The sequence below is a fragment of the Homo sapiens genome, chromosome 7, assembly GCF_000001405.40.
Source record: "Homo sapiens chromosome 7, GRCh38.p14 Primary Assembly".
Taxonomy (NCBI): domain Eukaryota; kingdom Metazoa; phylum Chordata; class Mammalia; order Primates; family Hominidae; genus Homo; species Homo sapiens.
This window is the reverse complement of record NC_000007.14, coordinates 154,666,516-154,684,724: the sequence shown is the minus strand read 5'-3', so window position 1 is coordinate 154,684,724 and position 18,209 is coordinate 154,666,516. Positions and strand designations below refer to the sequence as shown.

The window sequence follows — 18,209 nt, the reverse complement described above, 5'->3', positions numbered from 1 at the left end:
CGTGCAATCATAACCTTTTTATCTGAAGGGTAACTAGAAACTGGTGAGCCTGGGTTTGAACACGGTGTCATGGTAATTGGGACCCATGTGGTGGCTGAAAAGGCTAAAATTTAAAGGAGGATGCCACAGGGTGTGGCTAGAGATGAAAGGTCAGCCAACATCTCCAATAGGTGAAAACACAGAAACAAATTTCATAAAAATTCATAAATCGAGTTTACGCTTAAATTGAAAAAAGTAATTGATTTTCATCTTGGGTAAATAATATGCCTTAATTGACTGAGTCACCCATTCAACCTTTGAACACGTATTTAATGCTTACTAACAGTCTACACAAAGTGGCTGAGGACACAGCAGTGAACACGAGAGGTGCTTGTTCCTAAGGAGCTTGGATTTGGCTGGGGGAGAATAACAAGGAAACAGGTCACAAAAGCAGAGAGTGATGAGTGTGGTGATAAGGCAATGGCAGAGTGGCAGGGGACAGAGCAGAGGGGTCTCAAGCCCAATCTTCAGGGATTGGAGTTAGGGGTGAGGGGTGGGGGATTAAGAGTGTGTCCTGGGCTGGGCACAGTGGCTCATGCCTGTAATCCCAGCACTTTGGGAGGTTGAGGTAGAAGGATTGCTTAGTGCAGGAGTTCCAGACCAGCTTGGGCAACACAGTGAGACCCCCATCTCTACAAAAAATACAAGAACTAAACAGGCATGGTGGCACGTGCCTGAGGTCCCAGCTACTCAGGAGGCTGAGGTGGGAGGATCGCTTGAGCCAAGGAGGTTGAGGCTGCAGTGAGCCATGCTCACACCACTGTATTCCAGCCTGGGTGATAGAGCTAGACATGGTCTTTTAAAACATTTTTTAAAAAAAGAGTGTGTTCTGGACTTTGTGAATAGCAAATACAAAGTCTTCGCAGTGAGAGGTGGTCTGGGACATTTGCGGAACTGGATGTAGCTCATTATGGCTGGTCTCCAGCCTGGGAGTACTGGGTGGCAGGAGAGGTCAGGGGAGTGATGGCACCTCAGGTGGGCTTCACAAAGCATGTGAAGGGGTTTGGGTTCTATCCTAAAGGCAGTGGAAAACAGTGGAAGGATTTTACATGGGAAAATGGACATGATTATATTTGCATTTTAGATCACTCAGTGAGAGATGGAGAACATTCTGGAGTAGGGGTAGTTTTGGGGTAGAAAAACCAAGAAGGCAGCTGTTACAGGAACCTAGGCATGAGGTGATGGTGGGAACAGAAAGAAGAAGGTGGATTTTCATGATACCAAGAAAGCAGAATTCATAAAATGTATAGTGGATCAAGCCGGTGGGGGAGGAAGGGGAGTCAAGAATTTGGCTGACCTGGCACAGAAGAGATGGTGGTACCACTTACAGGGCAGAGCTTTGGCAGAAACAATAGTGAGTTTAGATTTATGAATGAACTGAGTCTGGAGTGCACAGTTGGCCTCACACTCACGGGACAGGCGCAGGCTCTAGAGCGATCTAGGCTGGAGGTCAGACGGCACACTCAGCTCACCAACATGCATAGTGTACGTTAATTAAATCTGGCCTAATGGAGGAAATTAAAACATATTTCAAACAGTTCCTGGCCATAAAAGCCATTAAAGGGAAAACTAAAACCATTCAGATAAATGAAGAGGTTTTCAAACTGAAGAACAAACAGAAAAATCAATTCACTAATTTGCTAACTTTTTTTAGAGTGGAAATAGCTGAACTAGATGTGAGCTATTACACAAAAAACAAAACAAAACAACAACAAAAAAATGAAACAAAAGAACAAAAGTAAAACCCACAGTCTAAAAAAAAACCAAAGTGGTCTGTCATTGAAATTGACTCATTGATTATCTGTGCTCACGTCTATCACTGCTCTAGCACGAGTAAGGCACTGTGTTCCCCACACATCAGAGAAGTGAAATAAAACCTCGTGGGCTGTGCAAATACCCACGTCAAAGGGCAGAAGTACGTTAGTATCCAGTATTGATAATTAACCTCTAATAATCAATCAGGGCTAACAAAATTCTGCAAAGGAGGAGCCCTGTGAAGTCTACTTTGCAGAAAGGTCCAGAAGAATCATTCACAAATAACTGACTTGGACACACTAAAATTTCTCCAAACGTTCTTAGAAACCTCTTGTTTTAAGTGAGCAAATTATCTTCTGTTCTGTGCCCTCTCTGTCTCCACGTTTAACAACCCAGACAATAACCTCTGAGGCCCTCACAGGGCATTAGAATGAGGGCCGACCCCAATTTCAAACCGGAGAGTGCGTGAGGGGCACAAGCCCACGAGGCCTCACTGTTCCTTATGACACTGCGGAGACGATCACCTCGGTGTCCTAGTGGGACAAGAAGTGAGGCGCTTTCATCCTCTGAAACGTCCTTGGAAAGACAAGAAGTTCAGGTCCTTTCGCCTTGTTGAGTTCAGCCTGATCCTGACAGGTTTTAATCAGGAGCACTCTCTATCTTCCTTTTAAGATCTTTCACAGCATAACAAACATTTTAAGACAAATGTCTGACTCGAAAATCCAGATTTTCTTCCTTGGTATTGCTCACAATCTGAACTGAATCTGAACTGCTGAATTAATTTGCCATCAGACAAGTTGTTAAATCTCAAAAATTTTAGGTTATAACGTCAAAGTTTTCCAATTTCCATGAATGTTGGACCTTATGTCTATAAATCTGACATTTAATTTTACTTTCCCTTCTGGATGGCATTCATTTCACAAGTATTTGTTGAGAACCTACACTCTGCACAATGCTGAGCAACGGGCTGTGGAAGACAAAAGTCTAATGAAAAACATTCTTTGTTCTTCAACAGCTTACATTTGGTCTGGGAAATAAAGTTATTCAAAAGCAAAATAGTTGAATAATAAAACAAAGAGGCATAAGATTAACTGCTACAGTAAGTGGGACTGACAGTATTTCAGCACTTTAAAGGAAGAAAAGGTCGCAGTTATTCTACAAAGACCAGGAGATGGAACCTTTACTTTGATATTTTCCAATGGTGAAACATTTAGGAATTATGATGAAGAGGTGTTCCCTCCACCCAAACGGGAGAATTCCACAAAGTAATCTACAGAACCCGATTAGGTGCACGAAGGAGAATTCTTGGCAGCACCGAGTACAGCCCTCCCCCGCCCTACCCGAGGCGACCGGAAAAGCCTCCAAATGTTCAGAAGCTGCTCCCTCCACAGGACGAGAAACAGGATCTGCCATGGCCGCAAGTGTGGTGCGGCTCCACGCCCCATCATCCAAAGGTCTCAAAAGGTTATGTTCATTTATAACTAACTGCCTTGTTATATTCTCTCAAGAATCTATCACTAAGTGCACTCTTCCTTAATGTACAACTCTGGTCCTGCTTTAAATTCTATTTGATAAATGATCTTGAAATTCTCTAACCTAATATTGCCGAGGCTGATGTGGGGGCACCCTTCTAAATTTGATTATTCCTAAGAAATGATACACTGTTTCAGTCGCAATTGAATTAAGGAAGCTATGAGGAAGAAAATAGGGTTTATCTTCACCGGCCAACGTGGGCAAGCAGGTCAGGCCCGGTTTTAACCCTGCATCCACCTTTTCCTTAATTTTGTTCTGGCTTAAGAGTGAGTCTCAAGGCTCACTTACCATTTTTTTTTTGAAATGTATTCTCTTATTGTGAAATATACAACACATTATTATTGACTATAGTCCTCTTGTATCCCGTAAGTGTATACGATGATGACTTATCAATTAAAAATAATTTTTAGATATTAAACACTCATAATCTGTGACCTTGAATTTTGTTATTCTGCTTTCTCTCCTTCAAAAAGAGAGTGAGTCCCAGAAAATATCTCTGAAGGGTTTGCAACAGAGCTTTCAAACCGGTGGAATTAACGGCACTGTGATCCCCGGAGGGTGATGGGCGGCTTATTCATGTTTGGATTCTCTGCAAAAAGCGCCTCTTCTTTACCCTCAACACTACTTGAGCACATGTTTATTGAGTAGAGTTCCTAAATCCCATTTTTAACAATACATTTTCTTCTCTTTTTAATTTTTTTTTAAAAAAAATATATATATAATGTTGCTTTAACCAAGAAAGTTTTAGAAGGGGGAAAAAAGCCCAGTCTGGCCAGTCCAAATAATTATTTTGACTAATATATTACTTTCTAATCCTTTCCATATGCCAACATACCAAATGGCTTATTTTTAGTCCTGCTATTGTTTGATAGATGATATATGCTCCATGCTCCCATGCAGTCTTCCTAATCATAATCTTAAATGGTTATATAATACCTCTTCCTATGGATACTCCATGATTTAGCAAATGGCTCAGCTCTCAACACTTAGGACATTTCCAGCTTTTAGAAATTCCTGTTATGGATAACAGTGTTATGAATGTGTTTGTTGATATAGCTTTGGGCTTCTTTTTAGAGGGATTTCTGTGATCTTGTATAGGAATGTCTTGATGACTCTTTCTGCATATTTTCATATTGTTTTATAAATAAATTTTCTCTTATGCCTCCTCCATTTACACAGAGTTAAAACAAATCTCCACCTCCTCCTGATGTCCTACTTATATTTTTCTTCTCTCACTTCCCCCATAATCCTATGATTACGCATTTCCTTTCTGAAATCCCTGTATCCCAGGAGAAGAGCCTCTTGGTGGCAGGAAAGGGCCCCATAATTATTTCCTAATTCTCCTCACTCTTTAACCATGACCATCAGGTATCTCTGTCATACGACCCCATCCATTCCTATTAATTACCAAAAACTCAGCTTATTTACTTGAGTGCAAGTGAATATTAAAGTGATTTAGCCCCACAGAGCCAGGAAGTGATAACATATTGTGTTACATTTGAAGGGTCCCTTTGGTAGTGCTAACAAATCACTCACCAAACTGTCTCCATCCATTATCTGAGGGTACAGAAGGCCATTTCCATCCGTGGGATATTAATTTCTTGGCTACTGTCACAGACCTCAGTGCCCATGATGAATGTTTTTACAATGAATACCAAATTAACCCAAGCTGATTAGAGGCTTTTATAAGTTATTAATGGGATGTCACTTTAGTCTGGTCTTCTCCACATATAGGACATTTCATTAAAGACTCTCCTCTTGCTGGAAAGATCAATCTTCCTCCCCTCGCTGGATTTGTCCACTTCAGTAAAGTGCTCCCTGCCCCCTTTGCTACAGCCATGGGACTGGGTGGGCAGCGCTAACCCTGAGCCAGGCTGTAACTTGTAGGAGGAGGCGACGGGCCCATTTCTGCTCAGCTCCCTGGTGGTTGCCCAGGTGGTAATGGGGAACTGCGGACCGGATGCAGGCTTCCTGGACTGGATACAGGAAGCAGGACACCCAGCTTCTTATAAGAAACATACTCTCTCCATTCAAGGGATAATTTCTGGCGTGGCATTAGCGTAGGGGAATTGCTGTCACCTGACAATGGCCTTTTCTAAAGCCACAGGCTCCTGAATAGTTACAAGGGGCTGACGACTTCAGGAGGTAGAAATTGATGTTGTTTTCTGAACATTCCCCCTCCCTCCCTAAGAGTGGGAGAAGAGCAAGGTGTGAGTCCACACAGGTACACTGTGGATGGTGATGGACAAGGGGGCTGGCCCGTCATGAAGCCCTCTGGACACCAACCCTAGCTTCTGTCTCTATCCTGCGTTTCTCTGCTTTATCAAGGGCAGCCCAACTCTCCTTCTGACACACACCAGACTTCCATCTGATGAAATGCTTATTTTCCTTCTCATTCTCAGACGATTAACCCAAATAGTAAAAGCAGCAACAATCAAAGACATTTATTGAGAACGTTATTTACACAAGGCTCCACAGCCTGTACTTCGAGTAGATTATTTTACTCTCCACCATGAGCCCTACAAGGTAGGCACTGTTACTTCAGTTAACAGACTAAGAGATGGAAGCTCAGGGATTAAGTCTCTCAGTCAAGGTCACGCAACTAGTAAGTGCTGCAACCACGATCTGAATCTGGCCCTTTTGACTCCAAAGCTTTTGTTACTAATGACCCTTTAAGAGCAAAACAAACAAAATAAAATATTCTTTTCCTTCTCACGCTTAAAACAAGTTTCTCCGGAATTGGTTCCTTCTGGTGGGTTCTTGGTCTCGCTGACTTCAGGAATGAAGCCGCAGACCCTCGCGGTGAGTGTTAGGGTTATTGAAGATGCTGTGTCCGGAATTTCTTCCTTCAGATGTTCAGATGTGTCTGGAGTTTCTTCCTTCCAGTGGGTTCGTGGTCTTGGTGACTTCAGGAGTGAAGCCGTAGACCTTCGCAGTGAGTGTCACAGCTCTTAAAGGTGGCGCGCCCAGAGTTGTTTGTTCTTCCCTGTGGGTTTGTGGTCTCACTGACTTCAGAAGTGAAGCTGCAGACCTTTGCAGTGAGTGTTACAGCTCATACACGTAGTGCGAACCCAGAGAGCGAGCAGCAGCAAGATTTATTGTGAAGAAGGAAAGAACACAGCTTCCACGTGGAAGGGAACCCGAGCTGCGGGTTGCAGCTGTTGGGCGGCGGTGGCCAGCTTTTATTTCCTTATTTGGCCCGCCCCCATCCTGCTGATTGGTCCATTTTACAGAGTGCTGATTGGTCCGTTTTTACAGAGTGCTGATTGGTGTGTTTACAAACCTTTAGCTAGACACAGAGCACTGATTGGTGCGTATTTACAGAGTGCTGATCAGTGCGTTTACAAACGTTTAGCTAGACAGGAGCTCTGATTGGTGTGTTTTTACAGAGTGCTGATCCCTGCGTTTACAAACCTTTAGCTAGACAGAGCTCTGATTGGTGCCTTTACAATCCTTTAGCTAGACAGAAAAGTTCTCCAAGTCCGCACCCCACCCAGAAGCCCAGCCGGCTTCACCTCTTACCTAGGACCTTCCCATTCTGAGGCTGAGGAGGTGGCCTGGGACCCTACAAGGGAGTTTCTCAGTGGGGGCTTCCACATCCCAGGCCTGGCTGGGTTCCCACTCCCAGCTGGCTCCTGGCTGCACCCAGCCTGCCCTCACGCTGGCTCTGTGCTGCTGCTGCAGTGCCACCCACGTGGCCTCCCTGTCACACTGAAATCTGATGGTTCTCCCCACGCGCTCCTCCCCGTGCAGACGCCCACACGTGAGCGATGGGTGAAGCAAAGGCCCTCCATCCCTCCGATCTGCTATCAAACTGCCCTTTCGTCCCTCTAACAAAGCGTTTTGGAGTTTCAAGCGCAAGCTCTTCCTCCATATCTTAGGTTGAATTACTGACATTTTGAAGGCATGGATTTTTACAATTTTAATGGGCTACTTTAAAAAATTATTTTTATTGAAGGCAAAAACCCCAATGCCATAAGGTAAGTCAGCACGAGTGCAAAAAAAACCCCTCAACTCCAATTTTCTTGAATCTTTCACTGATTCATAGAAAAAAGTGTCAAGACACGGTTCTGGGAGGAAGCAGTGCCCGCTGGATCACTGGCAGATGCTCATGGGTAGGTAAAGGAAGGCTCACGCTCTCTCGCTGTTGGCGTATTAAGAAGAAAAACAGCTATCCTTGGAATAGTTTGCTTGGAATGGGCTCCGTCCACTTGAAGTGGGAAATTAAGAAAACAACAGAATAATAGCATAAGTAGTAATAGTAAAAATTATAATAATAGTAAGAAAAATAACAATAGCTCATAGAATGAAATTCTGTATTAACCAAGGCTGAGGAGAATTTAAGCAGCCCCGCTGAAGTTAAAAGTTAGAAGAGTATATTAACTGTCTGTCCCAAGAAACAATAACCATATCTATCCTCCACATATTTTGTAGGCTCTGTAAACTCCTGTTTCTTTCTTCCCCCCACAACTGCAAGGTCACAAGACAGATAAGCACAAGCCGCAAACCAAGTTCTCACAGAGATGTAAGCCATGTTGCAAAAGTGTCACAGCAGCCTTTAGTTCTCGCTTCTGTAAGCCTGCTTCACGTAGTTCCTGCCTCAAAATGCTTAAAAGGGACTCGTTTTCTTTGTTCTGGGCTCAGCCTTTAGGACACATGTCCACTGGGCCTGTGTACACCTTAAAATAAACACCCTCCTGCACTCCATCCGGTCTCTCTGGTTCCTTAAATCCCGCTTCACACTGAGGTGTGGCTTAGAGAGCCACAACTGCCACAGGCTTGAGAGGGTGTAGCAATCACTAAGGTGGGGCCGGTGCAGGGTGTGGGTACAGTGTCTGTGTGAGTCAGTCAGGGAACGCCTGTGTAGCAGGTCACATGGGGAAGGGCAGCTGGACCTCCAGACAGCACACCCCATGGCCGCAGCCTGGAACACCTGTGTAGCAGGTCACATGGGGAAGGGCAGCTGGACCTCCAGACAGCATGCTGTAAGGCTGTAGCCGGAACACCTGTGTAGCAGGTCACATGGGGAAGGCCAGCTGGACCTCCAGACAGCACGCCCCATGGCCGCAGCCCGGAACACCTGTGTAGCAGGTCACATGGGGAAGGGCAGCTGGACCTCCAGACAGCACGCCCCATGGCCGCAGCCCGGAACACCTGTGTAGCAGGTCACATGGGGAAGGGCAGCTGGACCTCCAGACAGCACGCTGCAAGGCTGTAGCCCGGAACACCTGTGTAGGAGGTCACATGGTTAGGACAGCTGGACCTCCAGACAGCATGCTGCAAGGCTGTAGCCCGGAACACCTGTGTAGGAGGTAAGGACAGCTGGACCTCCAGACAGCACACCCCATGGCCATGTCCCCGCCCCTGGAGAGAAGTTTTTCTCAGAGCTGGATTGGCCTCATGGGCCCTGTATCAAGCAAGTACGGAATGACCCCTTAGGCGATGAGGCCTGTCTGGATGGCTTTGTTTTCAGGGGCATCACTTTGTTAAGACTTGAGGATCTAAGGATCTTGGTGAAAAATGAGAAGAATATCAAATACATAGTGTGACAGCCCCTGCTGTGGACAGGAGAGGAAAGCTTGGGCAGTGTGAACAGACGGGGACAGTTATGAGAGTGACCGTGCCAGAGCAGGGCAACGGGCAGCATTCGCGGTTGGGGAGAGCGAGTGAATGTGCCAATAGGTGAATGTGCCATCAGAAGCAGAAGCTAGTGAGGAAAGGGACCATGTCCTTCTTCTGCATCCGGGATCAGGCAGTATCCAGAACACAGGAAGTATTCAAGAAGAGTTGATTGAATCCGTAAACAAACGAGTGCATAAGAGAATGACAGGAAAGTACATGCACGGCAGGACCGGCCTGCAGGGTCCCGTGCACTAAGCTAGCTTGTGACCATGGCAATCGCTGGCCACATGTGCCATTCCAGAGAGCCCTAGGGCTGGGAACATCTTTGGGAGTCCAGTCTACCTGCTCCTAAGACTTCACCAAGGGAGCTGCCATCCTAACCATTAAAACACAGCACAATTTTTTTTCTTTTTTTCTTTATTATACTTTAAGTTCTAAGGTACATGTTCACAACGTGTAGGTTTGTTACATAGGTATACATGTGCTATGTTGGCTTGCTGCACCCATCAACCTGTCATTTACATTAGGTATTTCTCCTAATGCTATCCCTCCCCTAGCCCCCCGCCCCCGGACAGGCCCCGGTGTGGACGTTCCCTGCCCTGTGTCCATGTGTTCTCATTGTTCAATTCCCACCTATGAGTGAGAACATGCAGTAAAACACAGCACAATTTAAATGCGGATTTATTGACGTTCTCCGATAAACTATTCTGTGACCTTCTGTGGAAAACTATTCCAGGATCTAAAATGCCATATAATCAAGGCAATTCTTCTTAAAGTCTGACTCAAATCTCCCATTTTGATAAACATGTTTTTCTCCTGACTGACACAGGACAGTTGCTCACTGATATTCACCACCCCTCAGCCTCTCTTGGTCTGGAGATGATGAGGAAGTTGGCCTTTCCTTCTAAGCTGTGAAGCATGGCTGTGAGAATTCCTTAGTTTCCCTCCATGGTGTTTGTAATTGCACCTGCTCCTTTGGGGAACGCTATCTCTTGGGGACAGCTCTCTCCCCAGTTCCAGCAGGTTTCCCGGCTAACTACTCCACTGCTCTTCATCTGTCACATTTTGACGCTCTCTGCGTTGAAGACTTCCCAATGGACTCATTAAATTTCCCATTCAAAGCTCTTCATTTATCACTATCATGGTAGCAAGCCAACCAAAGAGAGACCCATTCACTTTGTCTCTGATCTTCCGAGTGTACCAGCAAAGATTCCGGCTTTGAATTCTTAATGTTGCCTAATGCTGCACAGTCTTTCTTGGGAAAATTTCCATGGCACTTGTTTCCAAAGGAAAACGTGATGATGCACCAAATTCACATGCCCTCCCTCCCCTTGCAGATCAACCAGCAAATGCACCCTGAGGCAGCTTCAACTCCAAGTGCATGTGCCAAGAACAAGGAAGGCCACCGCGGCTGCCTCAAAGTCTGTGTGCTTCCAGGAAATGTCTCTAATAGAAATACCATATCAGGAAATATGTGGACATTCCTAAACCAGACAACTAATCACATTCTAGGTCAGCAGAAACAAAACCTCCCATAAACAGACAAACACATGGTCGGGGGCAGGACTTCATGAAAAGATCAAAGAAAAGAAACATGGATGGCCGGGCAGAGTGGCTCATGCTTATAATCCCAGCACTTTGGGAGGCCGAGGTGGGTGGATCACTTGAGGTCAGGGGTTCAAGACCAGCTTGGCCAAAACGGTGAAACCCCATCTCTGCTAAAAACACAAAAATTAGCCACGTATGGTGGCACACACCTGTAGTCCCAGCTACTTGGGAGGCTGAGGCAGGAAAATTGCTTGAACCCAGGAGGTGGAGGTTGGAGTGAGCAGAGATCGCAACATTCACTCCGGCCTGGGTGACAGAGGGAGATTCCAGTTAAAAAAAAAAAAAAGAAAGAAACATGGAGGAAATCTCAGTTCAGGCAGATTCATCTGAAGAGGACACAATGAGGAAAGAAGTGGTACAGAGAAATACGTTGAAACAGCATATGTTTTGAACGTTTATGTTTCCCGACTGACCACTCCAGTTTGGAGGAAGAGGAAGCAAAGGAGAGACACTGTGTTAACATTTTACCTAGGATTTCTCATTTAATCCTATTTAATCTGGCCAAGTCTATTTCCTAGATCACATCCTGGGTCCTCAGCAAACGTTTGGAAGCAATCTTGTCATTTGTCATAAACTCCAGCCCCAGACCAGCATCATCACAGAAGTGGCTTCTGGCAGCCTGGGGGCCTCCTCCCACCCACTCCACTAACAACACACAGGCCACTCCCCCTGCAGTCATTACTACCGGAGAAATGTTCTATGGGTCTCACAACACTTACTCTAAAAGGTAAGAGCTAATTGGCAACCACATCGAGGCACTGGGAAAAGATGCCCTCACCCATCCCTGGTTCCCTGGGTCATCACCTGTGATATAGGGGCTCCAGACCCAAAGGCATCACTGAAATCAGTCAGCACAGGAGGCTACATGTTCCCAAAGCTCTTTGCAAACCTCAACTGCAGCTGTGTTCTCTGCTCCCAAAGGAGAATTACTCACTTCAATCTGACTCATTATAATTAGAGTAGGTTGACTTTAGGGAGCAATATTTACTTTTTAAAATAAAATGGCAATGAGGGGTGTGTTGCTTGGCATCACTTAATAGGTTAGGGCTTGCAAGGCCTGCTCTTGAGTTGTGAATTTTCTGTGCAGACGGAGCAGGTGTGGGGAGTACCTGTGATGAGGTGGTGGCTCTGGGGTCAGGCTTTCCCCATGAGAACAACCAAGACAGCATATGATCCCCTAAAACAGGGGTCAGCAAACTATAACCCATAGGCCAAGCCACCTGTGTTGGGAAGTATAGCTTTATTGGAACACAGCCATGCCCATCTTGTCTATACTGTCTGCAGCTGCTTCCATGCTGCAGTAAGGGAGATGAGTCATTGTGCTAGAAACTATCTGTTTGCAAAGACTGAAACATGTGCTATCTGACCTTCTGCAGAAGAAGGCGGCCCCTGCTCCAGCACATAGGGTACTCACTCAACAATGAGCTATATTGCGTCTTAAGCTCAGTACATGCATGTATCATAACGCTCTTAAAGGTCAAATGGATTTAAAAACTCAAAAGTTCCACAAGTATATAGCACCTTTGGTACTAAACTCAAGTATTAACAGTTATTACTTACCTGAACATTCATTTCTTTGAAGCAGAAAGGAAGTCAAATTTCTGTCACCTCTAGTACTGTCCTAGAACATATTCATAGATGCTGGCTATTTGCCACCATCCAATTCTTCATGCTGAAGTGGTTTGAAACCACAAAAATGTATTAACTAATGAATTAATCAATCTGTTTGTGCTTTCATCTTTTACCTCAACAAATGTGTACTGGGCACCAGACACTGTGCTGGGTGTGTTAGAATACGAAGATGAAACAGTCTCACTGTGTGGACTCAGGGTACCTGTATTAGTTTGTTCTCATGCTGCTATGAAGAAATATTTGAGACTGAGTCATTTATACAAGAAAGAGGTTTAATTGACTCACAGTTCTGCATTGCTGGGGAGGCCTCAGGAGACTTACAATCACGGCAGAAGGCACCTCTTCACAGGGCAGCAGAAGACAGAGTGAGTGTCGAGCAAAGGGGGAAACCATCAGATCTCGTGAGAACTCACTATCACTAGAAGAGCATGGGGGAAACTGCCCCCATGATTCAATTATCTCCATCTGGTCCCACCATTGACACATGGGGATTATAATAATTCAAAGGTGAGATTTGTGTGGGGACACAGAGCCACACCATATCACCACCTAACCAAGGAGAGAGACATGTCTACAGGCAACAAGAGATCATGTGTGCTGGGAGATTGCACGGTGAAACCTGAAGCCCCAGGATGGCTAGCTACCATTGTGTGTGTGTGTGTGTGTGTGTGCATGTGTGTGTTGGGGGAGGTGTCAGGAAGCCTTCTCTGAGAAGTTGTCATTTACTTTGTTTTGTTGCTACTTATTCTGTAAGAGGTTAAACAAGATAACTTCTATAATCACTTATCCCCTCCTCATCTCCAACGGAGCATGACATGAGTGAAGGTCAGTTGTTCAAGAGGACAATTATAGACTTAATTCTAAAGTGTGTGCATGCACACGCACACACACACACATATGCATGCACAGCAACTCCTTTTACAGTTGTGGGTTAAATTTCCTTTATGTTACAAGCTGTTCCCAGAGGCAGGACAAGTACCAACTCTACTACGGGACCCGGTTTATTTGCATGTGCAGACAATGAGGCAGGAGTCCACACACTGAGTTACAGCCGCTGGGTGATAAGAAGCGAGGCCGCAGGTATGGTGGAAAGAGACCTTGACATGTGGTCACATTATGATGGTCTTCTCCTGACTACTATAAAAAGGCTGGACAATGATCACTCAGTAAGGTTACACATTCCCATCCTTCTCCCTGTAGTGGGGTGATGAGGCCAGGTGCAGAGCTGTGGGTACTGGCTTGTAATGGATCCGCAGCAGGCAGGGAGAGCTCTCTATGGAGGTGTAATGGCCACTTTCACAGATGATTTGATGGATATTGAAAATCTCTTCAATCACAGACTTTCAGAGGGTTTTAAAGTCAACTATTAGAGATTCAGTTGCGCATCAGTCCTGAAAACTTAGATCTTCTACAATCTCTTATCAAATTGCATTTTTTTCCCTGTGTAAGAGTTAATGCCTTTGAGAAAAGACAAATTTTGTCTCTTTGTTGTGACTGAACTGATGGATTGGTGTTCCTCGGTCAAGGTCAGCTCTCAGCTGCCTCACTTCCTCCTGTCACCCTGTGATTTTGATCAGTTACATATGCTTTTCAAAACCTCTGTTATCAGTTTTAGCATTAGAGACATGTTAATAATAGCTAAAATATTAATAGTTTCACCGCCTCGATCTTCTTGCTTTTTCAAACCAATTCAAGGCAGTGGAATTAATATATAACCAAGAAAATGTGATTGTACTATGGGGAGAAATAAGACTATTTTCATTTGTAAGATAGATGACAGCCTATCCGATACAATTCTGTGGGAGCTTTTAGATACGATCATTTTTTGTGCTATTTTAGGAAAAAGGAGCTTTACAAATGCAGGCTTAGGTAATCAGCTTAAAGAGGCAGAAGAAAATGGTGACTTGAAAACAGCAACCATGTCATCTGACCTTCAAACCTGAGGGACTTTCTGCACGTGGCAATACAATGTCTTAAAAAAATGTTACCCAGAATGGACAAATATAACCAAGTTTTAGTCAAACGCAAGGCTAGAGTTGGAACAAACCTGAAGGACCGTATTATCCAAATTCTTCACTACATGGCTGGGCTGCTGCCTACAGCCTGACAGCGGGAGGTGCTGTCCAAGGCCAGCTCGGCAGTGAGAACCAGGGTGGGAGCCCTCATCTTAGAAATAGTGTTCAGGGCCTTTTTCTCTGCACTGTCCTTCCCATTCACAGAAACCCAGCAGTTTTGCCAATTTGAGAAGGAATCCATGAAGATAGCTGATAGAAACCGAGAAGGCTGCAATGACCACGGGGGGTTTTGCATGTTGACGGGACTGGCCTGGCTCCATCAGGGCCAGCAAATCTACTTGCTTAAAAAACCCTCCGCAGAGGCTGGGCACGGTAGCTCACGCCTGTAATGCCAGCACTTTGGGAGGCTGAGGCGGGTGGATTGCCTGAGGTCAGGAGTTTGAGACCAGCCTGGCCAACATAGTGAAACCCTGTCTCTACTAAATATACAAAAATTAGTCGGGTGTGGTGGAGTACGCCTGTGATCCCAGCTACTGGGGAGGCTGAGGCAGGAGAATCGCTTGAACACAGGAGGTGGAGGTTGCAGTGAGCTGAGATCGTGCCACTGCACCCCAGCCTGGGCAACGAGAGCAAAACTCCATCTCAAAAGAAACAAACAAACAAAAAACAAAAAAAAACCCTCCACAGGAAGAAGTCTGAGTTCCCAGAGCATCTTTAGATGACAAAATCATTCGGATCATTCTCATCTGCAGTTCTTTTAATGAAGTTGATCTCTTTGAGCTCATGATTCATCTGGAGTCCATAGACACAGCTACAGTTAGGCACCACTTTAACCATGTCAGATGTAGGAACCAAGCACATGCTGTTCCAATTTTAGGAGAATTTGCTATCTAAAAAGAAATGACCCTTTTACATATTCAGACACCCTGGTGTACCTCTCCAGATTTTAATTTACACACACACACACACACACACACACACAACACCATGTACAGGCTGAGTACAGTGAGATCCATTCAGCTTAGAAAACAGAAACTTCCTCAAAACCCAAGTATAGTTACTGAACTTGATTGGCTTACCAGCTGTTGGCCTTTAGGGCCCCATCCTGCATACTGAAGTTTTGCATTGCTGACTTCTGGTGGGTCCAGACTTTGAGGATCCCTGAAAATTGAACAAACAAACAAAAACAAAGCAAAATGTTGGGAACCAAGAATTTAAGCTGCTGCAATTTTATCCCCTACCTATAACTTAACTCCTTTCTCCTTCCATGGTATCCATTTCAAGAGCTTGTCTCTTGTGTTACTAAGTAATATGTCTCATTTAGTCTCTATTAGGTTTCTTCAGATGTATATAATTTATATGAAGCTGAAATAGGTCCATCATTGCTTAACCCAAATAGTAAATACTCATTAAGAGAGGACATGCAGTGAGGTCTTTGGATCAACTTCTTAAATCTCCAGAACAGTCAAAGTTAAAAATTAAAATGCAGAACCATGCAGTGATCTACCTCCACAATTTGTATCTCCATCTTTGGTTCTCCTAGAAGATAATTTTTTCTAGGTATAACGCAGGTCATTATGACCTTACAAACCTGGTGGCATCAGGTTTTGTGTTGGTTTGTGTTGACAGATACAAGTCGAGAGAGAGAGGGAGGAAGGGGATAAATTGAAAGATGTATTTCCTTTCAAACCTCCTTATATTTTTTATCCTTAATGTACTGATTAAATACCAATACCACCACAACAAAAACCTCTCTAAGTACTTAAAGGTTATAGTGAGTAAAGGTCATGGTGGGAAAAATGAAAAGTGCTAACATTTTATAAGTATTAAATATTTCAGTATATTTTGTAGCTACTGCTGTCTCCAACGTGTAGAAAAGATTCATTTTCATGTTTCTTTTGGATGACACCCCTCCACGTGAAGAATGATATCTGTGTTCTGCTGAGTCTGCTGGGCTCTGTCAGGTAAGCGCCCTATCACTTAGCTATAATTTCTTATGTGGGGCTGAGCGCGGTGGCTCACGCTTGTAATCCCAGCACTTTGGGAGGCTGAGGCGGTCGATCACGAGGTCAGGAGATCGAGACCATCCTGGCTAACACGGTGAAACCCCATCCCTACTAAAAATATAAAAAATTAGTCGGGCGCGGTGGCGGGTGCCTGTAGTCCCAGCTACTTGGGAGGCTGAGGCAGGAGAATGGCGTGAACCCGGGAGGCAGAGCTTGCAGTGAGCGGAGATCATGCCACTACACTGTAGCCTGGGTGACAGAGCGAAACTCTGTCTTGAAAAAAAAATGTGTATATTATATATATATATATATATATAAAATATACACATAGCTGGGAATGCACCCACTCATCTGTAGAAAGAAATGGTTGAATGGCCTTTGGAAAGGGAGGATGCTGCACTTCAGGGGTTGCATGAACAAAGGAGATGAGGCAGGAAGGGAAGGAAGGTGAAGGGGCTAAGGACATGGTGGACTGGAATCAATAGAAAATACAAAAGCAACGGCTGAATAAAACTACCAGGAAAAACAAGGACTACATTTAGAGTAAAGACAGATGGGGGAGGCTAGAGAGTCTAGAATGCCCCAGGTAGTTTTAGATGAAGTGTCTGGGTTTGGAGAAGCCAGGAAGCCTGAGGGTAGAGTGACGATGCCAATTCAGAGAAGACATTGCCGCTTAGAAACCAGCTGGGAAGGCAGCTGCCCAGTGATCGGAAGATGCAAGCGAGTCCTAATATTGCAGGTTCTGTTAATAGATGAGTTTTTAACATTGCGTGGTTTTGTTTTGTTTTGTTTTGAGAAGGAGTCTTGCTCTATCGCTCAGGCTGGAGTGCAGTGGCAGACCTCAGCTCACTGCAACCTCTGCTTCCTAGGTTCAAGTGATTCTCCTGCCTCAGCCTCCCAAGTAGCTGGGATTATAGGCACCTGCCACGACGCCTGGCGAATTTTTGTATTTTTAGTAGAGACAGAGTTTCACCATGTTAGCCAGGCTGGAACTCCTGACCTCAGGGAATCCGTCTGCCTCGGCCTCCCAAAGTGCTGGAATTACAGGCGTGAGCCACTGTGCCCAGCCAACATTTGTATGTTATGATGTTTCAAAGTATTCTCATAAGCATAGGTTAATTCCTCTTGAACCCTGGTGTAGAGAAAAGCTTTGATGACTCAAAATTCAGGAGCCAGAAATTAAGATTAATAAGTTGGACTACATAAAAACATAAAACTTTTGCATGACAGATGCATCATAAACAAAAGACATCTTACAAACCAGGAGAAAAGTATTTACAACACATGGCTAATATCCCTAACATACAAAATACTTTGAAAAATGTGGTTATAAAAAAAAAAGATAAAAATATGAGAAAAAGACATGAACAGACAATTCACAAAAAGACATAAAAATGGCCCTCAATCAAACATATGAAAGGTACTCAAATACATATGAAATTAAGGAAGTAGGAATTAAAATTAATTGAGATATCATTTCTCACCTATGAGACTTGGAAAAAGAAGAAAAAAGTATGACACATGGTGCTGGGGAGACTGTAGGGAAACAGGCACTCTCAGACTTGCTTGTCGGGAAGCAAGCTGGTGCAATCATTTCAGAGAGACATCTGACAATACCTAATAAAGTACACACTTAACTTTCAGCCCAACACTTCCACTTCTAGACTCCTAGAGAATTCACCTCAAACAATGCACAAATACATGTGCACAAGTTTGTATTTATTGCAGTTTTATTTGTAGTTGCAAATATTGGAAACAATATGTGGTTGAATAAATGACGGTACATCCTTCTTTTTTAAGGCTGAATAGTATTGAGCAGTGAGTAGAGTAGTAGTGGTTACCAGAGGCTGGGAGTGGGAGGGATTGGGGGGGTGCTGATAAAAAGATACAAAGTTTCAGTTAGACAGGAGGAATAAGTTTTTGAGATCTGTTGCAGAGTATGGTGATTATAGTTAATAAGAATGTAATGCATGTTTCAAAATAGATAAGAGAATAGATG

General features: G+C 44.4%; 1 protein-coding gene across 13 annotated transcripts in view, besides 1 other annotated feature; it reads right to left on the bottom strand.

The window, feature by feature from the left end:
- The window catches only part of DPP6 (dipeptidyl peptidase like 6), a 1,146,153-nt gene that overhangs the window by 209,561 nt on the left and 918,383 nt on the right, over positions 1–18,209 (bottom strand). For 12 of the 13 annotated variants that reach the window (NR_157195.2, NR_157196.2, XM_047419951.1 and 9 more), the window contains one exon: positions 15,284–15,365. The exons of the other annotated variant lie outside the window; for it this stretch is intronic. Coding sequence is in view for 10 of the 12 variants with exons in the window: in XM_047419951.1 (XP_047275907.1) it covers positions 15,284–15,365 (82 nt within the window). In the remaining 2 variants the exon portion in view is untranslated. The remainder of the gene's footprint in view (positions 1–15,283; positions 15,366–18,209) is intronic. 13 annotated transcript variants of the gene reach the window in all.
- Positions 3,052–3,346: an enhancer, noted in NCBI's record as "tiled region #9204; K562 Activating DNase unmatched - State 1:Tss". NCBI's record gives its function as "activates a minimal TATA promoter and a strong SV40 promoter by Sharpr-MPRA in K562 cells {active_cell/tissue: K562}" and the evidence as "EXISTENCE:reporter gene assay evidence [ECO:0000049][PMID:27701403]".